Source organism: Homo sapiens, chromosome 21, assembly GCF_000001405.40.
Source record: "Homo sapiens chromosome 21, GRCh38.p14 Primary Assembly".
Classification (NCBI taxonomy): Eukaryota; Metazoa; Chordata; class Mammalia; order Primates; family Hominidae; genus Homo; species Homo sapiens.
In genome coordinates, this window is record NC_000021.9 from 16,165,985 (window position 1) to 16,182,578 (window position 16,594).

Consider the following 16,594-nt stretch of genomic DNA (forward strand, 5'->3'; position numbering starts at 1 on the left):
GTCTATTTCCAAAGACTTGGATTAAGCTGAAAAAGAGTTTCTCAATTTTAATTCTACATTCCTTGGAGAAAGAGTGTGATTGATCCAGCTACATCAAGTCAGCTGGGATTAGAGGAAAGAGTTTCACTTGCTCGTGGGCACCCATCCCTGTGGATGGAGAAAGTAGTTATGACAGAAGAGGAACTGACATGAAATCCCAGGAAATGTTCATTACCACCCCGTTAGATAACTAAGAAGTGTCAGTTTAATGTTTTCATTATTTTAAGTGAATTAGCCACCAGAGAAAATCTTAGTTTTTAAGATATAAGATAAATTAATATAGTGTTTTTTTCATTGAATAACCTTTTCTTGTACTAAATAAACTAGTTCATACTATCAGAAAATCCTTAAATTCTTATATCAGTATTCTGTAACTTGAATAGTTGCTCTTTAATTTTTTTATATTCTTGAGTATGCTTATGGACCATTGGAGAAGTGGAAAAGTAAATTTTGGATTTGGATTACCAGGTAAAACTTATCCTCGTTCTGATATGAATTAGGTAATTTTAAAGTGGCATTAAGTAAACTACAAAGTGTATAGTACATAAATGCCATTTAGAGGTAAAATATTATTCAGAATATGAATACTTAGAAGGAGAATTAGAAATTATCACATCCCAAACAATTTAATAGGTATGAATAAGTAAGTAATGCTCAGAAGGGTACAGAGTCTTTTATTCAAAGTTACAAAAACTGTTTAGAGAAAACTTTTAACGAAGAGCCCTATCTTCAGATTCTCAACTTTACGTTAGTTGCTTAGCCATATATGAAAACCAAATGAACCAATCTGAACTGCTCCTGTCAAGGAGATGCACTCTCTTTCCATAAAAGAGAAACTCTAGGACCTTAGGAGATAGTAATGCAATGTTTATCCTCATATGAAATTTAAATAATCGTCTGTTTTACTGATTCGGAAGTTTCTGGTCAGTATTGCAACTGAGAAAGATACACAAAGGCATATTAGGGATATACCTATTAGAGTATCAGGTAGTCTTCTCATAGAGTCCATGTTTTCAACTCATTCACATCTCTATATTACTTAAGAAGATGACTTAAGAAGATTGTGCGAAGTGAGTTCACAGAATAAATAGCTGTCAATAAGGCTCACCCAGACGACTGGGTGTGTGTGTGTGTGTGTGTGTGTGTGTGTGTGTGTGTGTGTGTAAAACTGTTATGGTAAGGAATATGCAAAACTTTATTTTTTCTGATAAAATCTTAAGATAAATCCATTTCTTTTCAGGACTGGTAATTATATTTCTAGTAGGATTTACTTATTCATAATTGCCTTTAATTTAGATTTTGAAGTCTTCCATTACAGTGAGTTAATAAAGAGAATGAGAGTTGCAATATCTTCATGTTAGTAAAGAGTTTTTCTGTTTATGCTCTTTATTTTAGGCATAAATGATTTGTAATAGTGGCCATGGTTTCAGTAATTCATTGGCACTTAAGGGGCAGTATTAAGATGTTATGGTGATTAGTAAACTTTTCTCTGTAACTTCAGTGCTGCTTAGAAAAGTGATCGTGTTAATGAAGGACTTGTATAGGATTAGTTCATCTGTATATTTATTTTTAACAACTCAAATTATCTGCGTAAGAACATTTAAGTACCCTTATATACAGGTGAGAGCCTGCTTGTTGGGAAAAAATAACGTGAGATTAGGTATATTTAGCTCTTTCTCTACTACTATTTTGCTGTGTACCATTGAAATAAATGACTTTATCTTCCTAGGCATTACCTGTTAAATGTAGAGTTTAACATTAAATATCCAGGGTATTTTCTAGCTCTGTTTATGTTTCTATAATAAATGTTAATTGTACATATAAACATAAATCCAAATTTCATAGATGATGATATAAACTTAGGTCTCATTGTTTTGAAAATTTAAAATAAATAACTATGTAGCAATCAATTGCCTCCTATTATTAACTATCTTTATTCTCTCCTTAGTATCATCCCACTTTTGGTAATTCCAAGAACTCATGAAAAGATTTCACAAACCAATAATCAGCATTGATTTTTAACACACTAGAAGCTATAGTTACCCAATGTTATTTTCAATTCCTTTCCATATTTCATACTCATATTAGTATTCTGAACTTCAAGTAATAAGTATGGAAGAGTCAAAATTAAAAAGAAGAGAAAAGGGGAACATAAAACATTATTTTTAACTGTGGGGAAGGCCATTGTTTCCAAGGAGAAAATAAAATGCTGACTCCCAACATTCTGGGGCATAGATGATCTCCTCCCTTCCTCCACATCCATTTAGATTTGTTTTTTATGAATGGGTGCATGAAAAAGGAACTAATACCATATGGCATTTTCAGGTTCAGCAATGAAAAGTAAGGAAGGCAAAAATGAAATATTGGAATAAACACTCAGAGCTTAGGAAATGGGAGTTCCAGATCTGGTGCCTTGTACCAAATTTCTGGTGATGTTTATTAAATCTCTTTATTTCCCTACCCTTTCTTTCAATATCTGTAAATTGAGGAGTTTCAGCTACACTTACTCTAAGCTCACTTTAAACTGTAAACATATTTATTTTAGGATGTATTTTCTTTATGTGTTTATAAACAAATACTTTTCTTCATGTAGTTGTTAGCTTTTTAATCCATAAACATTTTTCAATACCTTTACCCATATCATTTGGAATATGTTCAGGGGATACAAATAATTTAAATATTTTTAAGCAAATATTTCAAATGTAAATATTTCAAATATTTGTTTAAGCAAACTATAGAGAGAAATGTAAAGTTTTGATGGCACTTTCTTTTTCCTGTGTTATCTTCTATCCTTACTAATGCATTATAAGCAAGGTTTGTTTTTTAGATAGTCCCTCAAGTCAGTTTCTACCAATGGATTAAGGCCTAACAGAAGACCATTGCTCCTTAAGACAAAACAAATACAAATCATAAAACTAACAAACACAACGCAAGAAAATTCTGCATTAAAAATTAGTTGGAGTAATAAATCACAATAAATGAAAAGGCAAACATGGGAATTATTTTCACAAGATGATAAATAAGCCAAGATTTTGCTCTTTTACAATCTCATTTAAGCTGTAACATACACTCTTGCAAAAAAAATCGTCACGAATAGCCTACAGGCAATAAAGAGGGTGGGCCTACTTAGTTAATTTTAAATTGTCAGCTCTTTTTTTCCTATTCTTTCAGTAAAATAAACTGTTTTGCTGAATAAGAGGGTTAAGAAAAGGCCTGAGTGAGTCACTCCAATTTGTTTCCACATTCTGAACAGTCAATAAAGAAATTTATTGCCTCATTAGGCATTTTGAGTAGATTTCTGGAAACCTGGGTGACGTAAGACAGAAAAGTAACCTCGTAAGATGTTTTAAAAGTGATTGCAGCTGAATTTGTTTTTGAAATTGCAAGTTGCCTGTTAGACTGGAATGGCATCATGATTTGTTTCAAGAAATGGTGCCAGGCAGTGGGCTGGTTTCAAGGAGAGGAGGAGGAAACTTGTGTTTTCAGCAAGAACTGAAAAATACTGTAAATACTGGTTCTGAAAAATACTGTAAGATGAGAGAAGTGAGATGATTAGAAGAGGGCAAGGTCTCAGTAATCAGATCAAGAGTAAGCTTCTTATGAGGAAAAAAAATGAAAGCAATGAAAATTGGAACATTAAACTGAATGGGAAGCAAAAGCCAGCAATGTACCCACTGCATGTTGCATCCTAACTTCTGCTTAGCTGATAGTTAGCTCTCTGTTCAAATGTGGACACTTAAAATCCTATGTGTCCCTCAGATCAAGTCATCTCTAATCACTTTGTATCTAGTTTTGGGCTTCAAAGACTTATTAGTAGCCGAATGAAGGTAGCTACTTTCCCCACACTCTATGCTTGTAATAATCTTGAGGCAACCTGTCTTAACTTCTTTTAAAATGACTGAAGGTTATACTGGGGGTTGGTTGATAAAGTATTATTATTTTTTGAATGAAGGAATGTTGACTTTGCTCCAAAATGTAAACAACCCAGGAGGCAAAATTCATAGAACAAATGACTTATTAACAAGTAGAACACAATGGGTTGCTTGCCTAAACTAACTTTCTTTTTATTCTTTTGGCAGGTAAACACATTAATCATAATCAGTCTGATCTGTATTAAAAAATAACTTAATAAATTAATCACAATCAGCCATAGAACAAGTAACTTTCAGGGAATTTTTCAGATACAAGGAGGTAAAATATTGGTTTCCCAAAATGAATATATATATTCATGTGTGTGTGTGTGTGTATGCATGTGTATACACATGAATGTGACATTCTATTTAAGAGATTTGTTTTCATAAAGGAAAAGGAAAAAAAAAGGAATAAAAAGGGAAAATAAAGTTTTAATCAGAATTCTCTTCCTGTTAGTCAAAGACAGATTTATCAGCACTGTTTCATTCTCTTATTATAAAATATTCTAACTTTAGGAGAGATCTTGAAATGTAAAAAGAAGGAAATATTTTCTCCATCATCCATTCTTTCAAACCTCTCAACTGATACCTTGCTACTGTTGTTCCATTGAATATCCGGAGAATAAAATTTAAGAGAGAAAAAAATGTGGTGACAGGATACAAAGGGAGAGGCATTGGGAGAAGAAACCTAGTACTCATCTCATCTTTGCAAATCTCTCTAGAAAGTGTCTTCATCTGCAAAATGTGGGGTTTGAACTGGATGACTTTAGATTGCCCTTGAATTTTAAGGGCAATGATGAGTCTAACTTGGTAGCCTGGAGGAGATTAAAATCTACTTAAAACGTTAGAGAAAAAGTTAAGAGCGGCAAAATGGTGCTGTGTTTCATTACTCCCTTTTTAATTAACATTATAAAAGTTCCAGATCTGAGATCCTGCCAAATTTAAAGTTCTACTTTTTGACCTATCCAGACATAGCTCAGAGATATTGTGGGTTTGGTTCCAGACCACTGCAATTAAACAAGTCACATAAATGCTATGTTTACACTATACTGTAGTCTATTGGGTGTGCAACAGCATTATGTCTAAACAAAATATATATTTTAATTTTAAAATACTTTATTGTTAAAAAATGCTAATGATCAACTCAGCCTGCAATGAGTTGTAATTTTTTGTTAGTGTAAGGTCTTGCCTCCCTGTTGATGGCTGCTGACTGATCAGGGTGGTGGTTGCTGGAGGATGGGGTGGCTGTGGCAATTTCCTAATATAAGACAGCAACAAACTTTGCAGCATCAACCAACTCTTCCTTTCACAGATTTCTCTATGGCACGCAGTGCTGTTCGGTAGTGTTTTACTCACTGCAGAATTTCTTTCAAAAATGGAGTGAGTTCTCTGAAACACTGCCACTGCTTTACCCACTACGTCTATGGAATGTTCTAAATCCTCTGTTGTCATTTCAACCATGTTCACAGTATCTTCACCACGGATAGATTCCATCTCAAGAAACATTTTCCTTTGCTCATTCATAAGATGCAACTCCGTAGGTGTTCTTATACTATCATGAGATTGCAGCAATTCTGTCACCGCTTCAGGCTTCACTTCCAATTCCAATTTTCTTGCTCTTTCTACCACTTCTGCAGTTATTTCCTCCCTGAAGCCTTTTTTTTTTTTTTTTTTTTTTTGAGATGGAGTCTCACTCTGTTGCCCAGGCTGGAGTGCAGTGGTGTGATCTTGGCTCACTGCCAGCTCCACCTCCCAGGTTCACGCCATTCTCCTGCCTCAGCCTCCCGAGTAGCTGGGACCACAGGTACCCGCCACCGCGCCTGGCTAATTTTTTGTATTTTTAGTAGAGGCGGGGTTTCACCATGTTAGCCAGGATGGTCTCGATCTCCTGACCTTGTGATCCACCAGCCTCGGCCTCCCAAAATGCTGGGATTACAGGCGTGAGCCACTGCGCCCGGCCTCCTCCCTGAAGTCTTGAACGCCTCCAAGTCATCCATGAGGGTTGGAATCAACTTCTTCCAAACTCTTGTTAATGTTGATATTTTGATCTTCTCCCATGAGTCGTATATGCTTTAATAGCATCTAGAATGGTGAATCTTTCCCAGAAGATTTTTAATTTACTTTGCCCAGATACATCAGAGGAATCACTATATATGGCAACTACAGCATTATAAAATATATTTCTTAAATACTGGGCTGCAGAATGGATGTTGTGTTAGCAGACATGAAAATAACATTAATTTCCTCATACATCTCCATCAGAGCTCTTGGGTGACCAGTACATTATCAATGAGCAGTAATATTTTGAAAGGAATATTTTGTGTGTGTGTGAGCAGTAGGTCTCAACAGTGGGCTTAACATATTCAGTAAACCGTGCTCTAAACAGATGTGCTGTCATTCAGATTTTGTTGTTCCATGTATAGAGCATAGGGAGGATAGATTTAGCATGGTTCTTAATGACCCCAAGACTTTTCGGAACGGTCAATGAGCATTAGCTTCAACTTAAAATCACCAGCTGCAATAGCCCCTACCAAGTAAGTCAGCCTGTCCTCTGAGGCTTTGAAGCCAGGCATTGACTTCTCTCTAGCTATGAAATTCCTAGATGACATCTTCTCCCAGTAGAAGGCTATTTCATTTATACTGAAAATCTATTGTTTAAGAAAACCGCATTCACCAATGATCTTTTGAATAACTTACTTCAGCTTCTCCATCAGCACTTGCTGCTTCATATTGCATTTCTATCTTACAACGATGGCTTCTTTCCTTAAACCTTATGAACCAGCCTCAGCTAGCTTTAAACTTTTTTTCCTGCAGCTTCCTCGCCTCTCTCAGCCTTAATGAAATTGAAGAGTTAGGGCCTTGCTCTAGATTAGACTTTGGGTTAAGGGAATGTTGTGTTGTTCCTGGTTTGAACGTCTATCCAGACTACTAAAATTTTCTCTATATCAGCAATAAGGCTGTTTCTTTTTTTCGCCCTGCCCCGCCCCGCCCCCACCCTTTTTTTTTTTTTTTTTTTTTTTTTTTTTTTTTTTTTTTTGGCGGAGTCTCGCTCTGTCGCCCAGGCTGGAGTGCAGTGGCTCGATCTCGGCTCACTGCAAGCTCCACCTCCCGGGTTCACGCCATTCTCCTGCCTCAGCCTCCCGAGTAGCTGGGACTACAGGCGCCCGCCACCACGCCCGGCTAATTTTTTGTATTTTTAGTAGAGAAGGGGTTTCACCATGTTAGCCAGGATGGTCTCAATCTCCTGACCTCATGATCCTCCCGCCTAGGCCTCCCAAAGTGCTGGGATTACAGGCGTGAACCACCGCGCTGGGCCCAAGGCTGTTTCTTAGCATTTGTATATTCACTGGAATAGCACTTTTAATTTCCTTGAAGAACTTTTCTTTGCATTCAAAACTTTCCTCTTTGGCACAAGAGGCCTAGCTTTTAGCCTGTTTTGGCTTTTGACATGCTTTCCTTGCTAAGCTTAGTCACGTCTAGCTCTTGATTTAAAGTGAGAGACGTGTTAACTCTTTCTTTCACTTAAACACTCAGAGGCCATTGTAGGGTATTCATTTATTTTTGAGATGGAGTTTCACTCTTTCGCCCAGCCTGGAGTGAAGTGTTGCCATCTCGGCTCACTGCAACCTCTGCCCCCCGGGTTCAAGCAATTCTCCTGCCTCAGCCTCTTGAGTAGCTGGGATTACAGGCACGTGCCACTATACCCAGCTATTTTATTTTATTTTATTTTTTTGTATTTTTAGTAGAGACAGGGTTTCACCATGCTGGCCAAGCTGGTGTCGAACTTCCGATCTCAGGCAACCCACCCTCCTTGGCCTCCCAAAGTGCTAGGATTACAGGCGTGAGCCACCACACCTGGACCATTGTAGGGTTTTTAATTGGCATCATTGTAATATTATTATGTCTCAGGGAATAGAACAGCCTGAGGAGTGGGCAAAATTTGGAGAAACCATCGGTCAGCATAAAAGTCAGAACACACACAACATTTATTAAGTTATCTGTTTTATATGAGTGGTTTGCGGTGCCCCCAAACAATTACAATAGTAACGTCAAAGACCACTGATCACAGATCAGCACAACCGATATAATGAAGAAAGTTTGAAATATTGAGAAAAATACCAAAATGTGTCGCGGAGACACAAAGTGAGCACATGCTGTTGGAAAAACAGTGCTGATGATAGGCTTGCTTGACACAGGGTTGCTACGGACTTTCAATCTGTAAACAATTTAATACCTGTGAAGGTCAGTAAGTGAAGTTCACTAAAATGAGTTATGCCTGTGTATTTTTCCACACGTTAATTATTGCTTTTTGAGAAAGCATAAGGTGTTATCTTTTAATGATTATTTATTGATTATGATGTTTACTGAGGCTCTTGTGGATGGTTCGGTTCAACAAGTATTTGATTCATGGCTACTATGTGTTGAGAAGTGAGCATGGGAATAGAAAGTAACTCTCCCGCCCCAAATCAAAATGACAAATAGTCCTAGGTTTAGGGAGTTTAGAATATGCCTGGTATATAATAGGTACTCAGCATACATTGTTCAATGATTGAATAAATGCACTAAGGGAAACAATTAGAGTATAATATCTGTGCTTAAGTATATATATATATTATCTATATATCTCTCTATATAAACATTTATATCCAGATATTAAAATGCCAATACTTTCTAAATATTTCCATGACCCCCCCAAGCAAATCTTTGCCTACTCCTCTATCTATCTGTATAGAGATCTCTATCTATATAGAGAGATATGTAGATAATATATATACTTATTTGTTACATCTATCTATATATAATATAGATAATAAATCTATATATAATATAATCTATATATGATATATAATATATCATATATAGATATATAATAAATATATTATCTACATATCTCTCTATATAAATACATAGTTATGAAGAGAAGTAGGCAAAGATTTGCTTGGGGAGTCATGGAAATATTTAGAAAATATTGGCCTTTTAATATCCAGAAGTTAGAATACATATATTTACAGTAAAGATGGCAAGGAAGCATATTAGTTGATGTATTTTAAGAATGGGACAGATCTGCCAGAAAAAATTAGAAAGAACAAAAGTTAATTGAGGAATATAATCAATAAACTGGATTTTTTGGGTATGTATATATGTAACACATGTGTAATAATTTTACACATATGTAGAGAAAACTTCATACTCTCCAAATACTGCATATTCATCTTTTCTCTGTGTTCATAAAATATACATATTTATTGAAGAACAAAAAAATAAAAAAACAAAGAAAGTATTAACATTTGAGTTGGCATTCCAACAACAAATCAGATTTTAAACATTCATTTTAATCAGAGAAAGCATTCTAGTTTACAGCATGTTTGGGAACAATTAACATGTATATAATGAGGAGTGGTCACAGATCACAGGAAGTGAGGCTGGAAAGGTGGCTGGGGCAAAATTGCCAAGACTTTTTAATTCCAGGTGAAGTGGTTTAAACTTCATGCTATGAATAGTTAAAACTCCATACTATAAATAATGGCATTTTGTGTGTCAAGAACAGAGTGAAATGACCCAGGTTTGTTTTTGTGACTCCTGATCCTTTTAGTGTGCCCAGCCTGTCCGGATTAAACTTTTAAAGAACTCATTGACCTATGCTCTAGCAATCTAATGGAGCCAGTCTTTAACTTCTAAAGTAATGTACTTTCTGTTAGTAATTTATGATATTTAAACTATGGAACTGAACATATTGAGTAGGGCTTTTCAAATGGTACATCATCCTTCAAATTTCTGAAAATTCTGTTGTCTTCCTTCTCTCCCTAGTCCCTCCCATCCCCTCATGCCTTTCTACCTCTGCATTTTTTAGGCTTGGAACATATTAAATGGACGCAGGTGTTGTTCCCACTTTAACACAAACCTTAGAGGCACAAAATAATAACCAATTTTATAAACAAAAATAAAGAAAATAATAATACCAAGAGCCAGGAAACAATAACAATGCAATGTAAGCTCTCGATCCAGATGGCTGAGGTTCAAATCTTGGTTTTGCCACTGATTGGCTATGACCTTGACCAATTTACTTAAACTCCCTGCAGCTAGATTTTGAGGAATAATGTTACCTTCTCTCCTAGCAATGTTGGAGGAATAAAAGAGTTAATAGAGATTATGGCCTGATGTATAGTAGGTGGTGCATAAATATTGTAGACGTCATTGTTGTTATCGTATAGCAGGGGAAGTTGGTATAATTTTTGTTTGTCCCTTATGTTGTTTTCTGACCTGGAAAGGAGTAACGCTGCTCCTTTTAGGAACAACCTTAGTCCTCACTTCATACATAAATCACATGTTCTTCTCTTTGCCAACACCTATATTTTGATAAGACTCAATATCTGAAGCTAAAAACACATTCAAATCTCCTTATGTTACTACTTCTTGTTCTAACCAAACACCAACATTAGTACTTATTCTATTTTCTTGTCCTGTCTATTCATACAATAGTGGCTTTTCTCTGTATCTGCTTTCTGCTTGTATATTGAGTCAAGGACTTTTTCCTCGAAGGCCTGTTTTGTGTGTAGCAGTTCAAGGACTATCAAGTCAGTCCTTTATCTCAACATACTCCACAATTTGAAAAAATAAATCTCATTTTTATTAGTGTGATTTTATAATTTTTTTATAAGACTTTGTTAAACTTTATGAATCTTCTCTAGATTTCTTTATGGTTTACATTTCCTTGTAACTTGTGAAGACCAGATGGAGGTTCAGTTAAGTTAGGGGGATTGGAGCATTGCTTAGAACATCAAGTCCCAGACTGGGCCAAGAGTTCTGAAAACAAGCTGGCTTTCTGCTTATCCAAATGAGTCATTTGGGAAGCCATTGCCTCCTTTGCTAAAGACACTTTCTTCATCATCAACTTTGATTGTGGTTTCTTTTCAGACCTATTTTGACTATAAAATAAATCTGAAAAATGCTTTAGACAGAATATCACTGCAAAATGTAAGCTATTCTTCACATTAGGCTAAATTTAACAATGATCCTGAATTTAAAAACCAGAGTTAAAAATGACAAAAAAAACTGTGATGGATTTATTATTGACATTACTGAATTGACATGGTCAGTTAGGATTAAAATATTATGAGTAATATGAATGTTACGTTATTTAAAATAAAGAGATATTAAGAGACTATTTGTTTTTATCATTTTATGAGAATAGCTAGTAGCTTCCCCTCTACCCCTTCTTCAATAAAACTAAGCAGTTCAGGACATCTTGTATTAATGCAAGAAAGTTAGATTAATATTAATGATAATATAGTGTTTTCATGTTGTAGTTGTTCATCTGAACTGAGCCTTCAGTATTCTTTAATTTTACTCAGTGAAAATAAACTTTGTTTATCTCAGCTCTTTAAAAATAAATGGCATTGCAGGATTGGGTAGAACCCTGGGCACTTTGTTTGGTCTTATATTACTCTGAATACCAAAATTATTTTTTTTCAAGCTAGTTAAATCATCATTTGAAACAGAGCTGCAAGACTAACATATGGACTACAGGAGAGTAATAGATGTGTCATATACCAAAAACAGAAAGATCCATTACCCTAAATGTGAAATTGTGAGAGGGAAGGAGAATACACAAAGTAGGATGTCTGGAAGCCTTTTTTAGACTGTATTACCATCCATCTAGAAAAATGTTATAGGTAAATAAAATATGTTCTTACTGAATAATAAGTATAATATGCGCAATTTATCCTCATTACAAAGAGATTTTATTGTGTGTGAAGAATTCCACAGAGAGCCATTACAGATCCATTATAGTGTTTTTAGTGATCTGCTCTACTTCCCAAACCGTGGTTGTTTTATGCAGTATCAGATGTATAATGTGCATTTCTATTTTTTTCCTGCTCCAAACTCGCTATGCTTACAAATAATTAGGCAGGAGGGGTTTTGTTGCCTTGTTGGCCACTTCTTAAAAGCATAGTATAATTTATTGGAACAAAATATAGTAATGCACTTTAAGGAAAGTTCTCTTATGTAAAAGCTCAATCTCAAATTGAATGAAGGGTAAATTTTTATTCGCAAGAATTGACACATTTCCAATAGGAAAGGCTTCATAGTTGCAGTATTTTATTATGATAATTGAATTTTATAAGAATAGCACCATTTACTTCTATGAAAATTTATTCTCCTTGTTCTGCTCCAGAGCTTTATTAGCTTCCCAGTATTTCCCCACTCTTCCACCTGGAATTCATGGGCCAGGCCCCAACTTACATTGTTACTTCTTTTATATATAATTACTTTTGCACATAAGCATTTTCTTCCACTCAGCCTCCATCTTTTCAAGAATATGTGTGTTCCTTCACTTCTTGGATTCACGCTTTTACTTTCTCTACTTTTCCTACTGCTCCAATTTTTTTTCTTGTTCTAAAGGTCTTTAAAATTTTTCCCATCTCTATAACGCTATTTGTGGATGTGTGGGTCTTTTTCTTTCAAATAAGGTACACATCTGCTGTGCTGAACTGCTCATCTATCTGTAGAGCAGAAAGGGAGGGTACACCTGTTGAATGTCCAGAGTTCTCCATGGATTTTTCTAGGTCTTCTACGTTATGTACCTCATTTAATTCTCTTAACAACCAGGCAATGAAGAACTAGCATGCCTGTTTCATGGGCGAAAAAACTGAGGCTTAATGAGTCCAAGCAGCTTCTCTCAAGTTTCTTTGGTAGAAAGCAAAAGAGGATAGATTCAAATCCGTCTTTTTCACCAAACCTGTGTTTGTTTGTTTTTTAGCTTTCCCTATGTGTGTGTCTATTTCATTTTCCCATCTCCTGATGGCAAGGACTCTATCATGGGCAATTTTATCTTTTAGGTAGCCGTCACATATCTCAATTCTGCATTTACCTCCTTGTGTAGCTCAGGTGCCACATTTTCCTTCACAGTGTTTTTCCGATTTTTACTTATTAAAATGATTTGCATATTCATAAGTAGAAATGGTATATTTTTCCTTGTTAGCAAAAAAAAAAAGAAAAGAAAAGAAAATAGTCATGTGACTAATGAAAACTCTTTCAAGTTGGTCTATAGTTTCAAGTTGGTCAAGAACATAAAAGAACATAAAAGAGTTTTTTATGTTTTCCAAGTTTGATTTCTATCAACTTTATATTCTGTGTGTGGTTGATAATATTTCTCAGTTTATACAGCTTTGTGTTCTCTTAAAGAATAATACCCACTTTTCATAGACTATTTAAATCTTCATTGGGAAAAAATATCAAAATTTATAAATTATATGAATATATTTAATTAGCACATGTGCCCCAAAACTATGTACATCTATTATACAGCAATTTTAAAATTTTAAATAAAAGGTAAATGTAAAAAAAGTACATGAACTTTGAACCAAATTTAGACATGCTTAATAAAGCCTATGTTTATCACTTTGAATTTGGTATTATTTATTTATTATTATTATTTATTACTTTGAATTTGGTATTATTTAAAAAGGAATCCAGTTTTTAAAACTTTAAATGAAATAACATGTCTGAAGAGAGTTTCTAGATGCAGCTTACTCATCTATATAGGGAGCAAATTACAAATAAAGTCTTTAAAGAACCCATAAATGTTGAGATAACGTGGAATTACTGATAAGCAACTCAAAAGCTGCTCCTTAATATTGTTCACCTATTTATCACCTTATTCTAAGCCAAACTCCTAAACAACTGAAAAAGAAAGCTTAGATAATTGGATAATATTTCTTCACAAAGTCAGCTTAAATTTCTGTCTAAATGCATTATAATACATGAAGAAGGCTTTTAATATTACTTATGCTAAAGGAAAAAATATGCTGGTTCTTTTGTCAACCTTCTTTTGTACTAATTGTGTAAGTTTGAAGCGAGGGCTGTAGGAAATTAAAACAGAAAATAGAAGTCCTGATTGTGGGGCCTGTTGAATTTGCAGTGTAACACAGGAGATAAGGCATCAGTTTAAACAAACATAGACACACACATATAACATCTCAAGATCGCATAATACAGCCGCCAAGATGGGGTCACAGATGAGTTCAGTAAATAAAGAATGTCATGGACTAGTATGGTCAGAGAAATTGTTACCAAGGAGGTGCAATTTGAAAGGACACTTCAAAGAGGGGCAGGATTTTGTTAGTTGGAAAGCAGGTGACACAGCAATTTGGGCAGGAAGGAAATCAAGTTGCAGAAGTTGCTTAGGGAAAGTAGGTTTGAAGGAAACATCAGAACAACTAAAATAGAAGCTTTGCTCAAATAACAAAGTCTCGTTTTATTTTTATCTGTTTTTTTTACTTTACCTCTATCAGTTTGTCACTCTTTTCAGGCTAGTACAAACTGTCATGTTTTAAAATCTCTGTACTTTTATTAGTTGTAGGATGTAAGCTTTGAAATAAGCTTTGCAACTGTGGAGATTAGTGTCCCATTCCTTTAAGGGTCTGGCCAACCTAGGGGATCCACAGATATTAGCTGCTAGGTGGTCGATCACCTTGAAACACCATCCTGTTATGCTGTGTCCTAATAGCTTGAGAAGCTGAACCAGAAGTATGCAGTTCACTTCTACACATTCTGCAGCTCTTCCTGAACAACTTCATTTTTCATCTATTTCACGATGAACAGAAATATTCTCAGAAATTCTTTTTTTCTTTTAGCTACCAAGATTTGGGCCTGCTTTTTTATTGGTTATTTCGTGAGGGTAATGGGGCATTTGACCATTCTAATCCGCTTTTCTGAGAACCAGCACATTCTGAAAATTGTCTGAGCCCTCTCTCCTTTGACTATCAATAAGGATCACTTTTAGATAAGTCGAAGAAGAGGCCAGACTGAAACAGGAACCTGTGAGGCTCCCTGTTGCATGTTTTTAATTCACACACCCACATGGCTACATCCAACAGAGGTGACCTGAATTTTACTCCTTTGATGTTGCATACCATAAATTCCCATAGCAGGTTTGCAACAAAGGGGGTATTTTAAAGCTTTTTTCTAACATCGCCTTAGCAGATACTGACTGATCCTTTCCCAGGAACTGAGAGGGTCCCACCCATGCTCCTGATTTTAGAATCATAAACATCAGTAGGACCAAGATGCTTTTAGAGGGATAAAGTGACTTTAATTTATCTTGGGTGGTCAAAACACAGCATGTGCAATATTTTTACAAACTATGATTCAGAAAGCACATAGTTCTAGAGCGTTTTGTTTTTTGTTATGTTGGTGTCACTGGAAACAGTTGTGCTTCCTGATGTCTTACTGAGATGGCCTTTTTGGTCATTTTGGGCCACTTTCCCAAGGATACTGCATGTTGCCTGACCTGTATTCCTGAGGAAATAAGGAGGACTTAGATTGATCTGTTTTGGACAGCGTACTTTCTCTAAGAATGGCGAAAGGAAAAACATCAGACTAGGATGCTCTCCAGAAATAATAACTGAGAATCTCATCCTGTTGTGTAAACTCTCCTTGTACTTTGCTCTGTGTGTGTTTGGTGGAAATATTATTTTTAAACAGCCATTTACTCTGAAAAAATATGATTTTGCATTAAATTAGTTTTAAAGTTAAGGGATATATATAAGACCTTTTTATTAACAAGTTGATGAGATGAGCATTAGTATACCTATAGGAAGTTTTTGAATGAGTGCCAATTCTGAATTTACAAATCAACATTTCTTCTCTCCAGCTTTCTTTAGCTTGCCCATGGTGATGTGAAGATGAGAAGAAATAGCAAGGCCCAACCAGTTCTTCATCTGGAGACAGTTCAACGTTCTGCAAACCAGGTAAAAATAATACAGACGATTTTAGGAATGCATAGTCACTTTATAAAATAAACTATTTTCTTTCTCAAGTTTGATCTACAGATTTTTGCAGAAGCTATATTTATCATCTAATGTATAACTTGTTAATAAACATGACATTGTATCAATTTCGATTATCTGTGAAGAGCAGAGTGACTAAAGCATGCATTTGTGCATTGACTCATTAATAAAGTTATAGTTGTAGTATAACTTACTTTTATAAAAATATTTTAAAGAAAAAAGAGGACATGTGGCTATTTGATTTGCTTGTTACAATTCTAAACAAAGTAAAGAGAGGTATGGGCTAAATAAATTTAATATTTCTTTAAAAAGTAACTTTTACCAAATGAATACATGTGCATATATTTAAAATTCAGGTAAATTTAAAGGCTAGTAACTAAAGAAATAAACCTTTTGGCACAACTGCAGGAAAGGAACCACTTTCAAACTCTTTAATTTTTATTTTACTTTTGTGGTTTTAAATAACATCTATAAATCTATCTCAGGATTTTTAGAGTTAGTGCTCTAACAATTGATTTCTTGTTGCTATAGATGTGGATTTAAACTTCCTTAAGACCTCAAAATTCTTGATTCTCCCAATATAGCTATATCACTATTTTTATTGTTTTAATTTAAATCTGTATCTGAATTTATAGTTAGTAAGACTATACAAATAATGTTTACTGCTGAGACTGGTGATGTGATATGATTGCATTCTCTTTACTGTAGTAGAATTTTCATTTTCTCTTGAAGTCAGTGCCCTTCCTTCCTTCCTTCCTTCCTTCCTCCCTCCCTCCGTCCCTCCGTCCCTCCCTCCCCTCCCTCCCTCCCTCCCTGCCTCCCTCCATCCCTCCTTCCTCCTTCTCTCTCTCT

General features: G+C 35.2%; 1 long non-coding RNA gene across 7 annotated transcripts in view, besides 1 other annotated feature; it reads left to right on the forward strand.

Annotated features, from left to right (window-relative positions):
• Window positions 1-16,594, forward strand: part of MIR99AHG (mir-99a-let-7c cluster host gene) — a 561,240-nt gene that overhangs the window by 95,497 nt on the left and 449,149 nt on the right. For 5 of the 7 annotated variants that reach the window (NR_136541.1, NR_136542.1, NR_027790.3 and 2 more), the window contains one exon: window positions 15,607-15,703. This is a non-coding gene — a long non-coding RNA (mir-99a-let-7c cluster host gene). Of the gene's footprint in view, window positions 1-15,413; window positions 15,704-16,594 lie in introns of those variants that run through there. The other 2 variants (NR_136552.1, NR_136551.1) reach the window with 1 other exon arrangement.
• Window positions 15,125-15,419: a silencer, noted in NCBI's record as "tiled region #14289; HepG2 Repressive non-DNase unmatched - State 24:Quies". NCBI's record gives its function as "represses a minimal TATA promoter and a strong SV40 promoter by Sharpr-MPRA in HepG2 cells {active_cell/tissue: HepG2}" and the evidence as "EXISTENCE:reporter gene assay evidence [ECO:0000049][PMID:27701403]".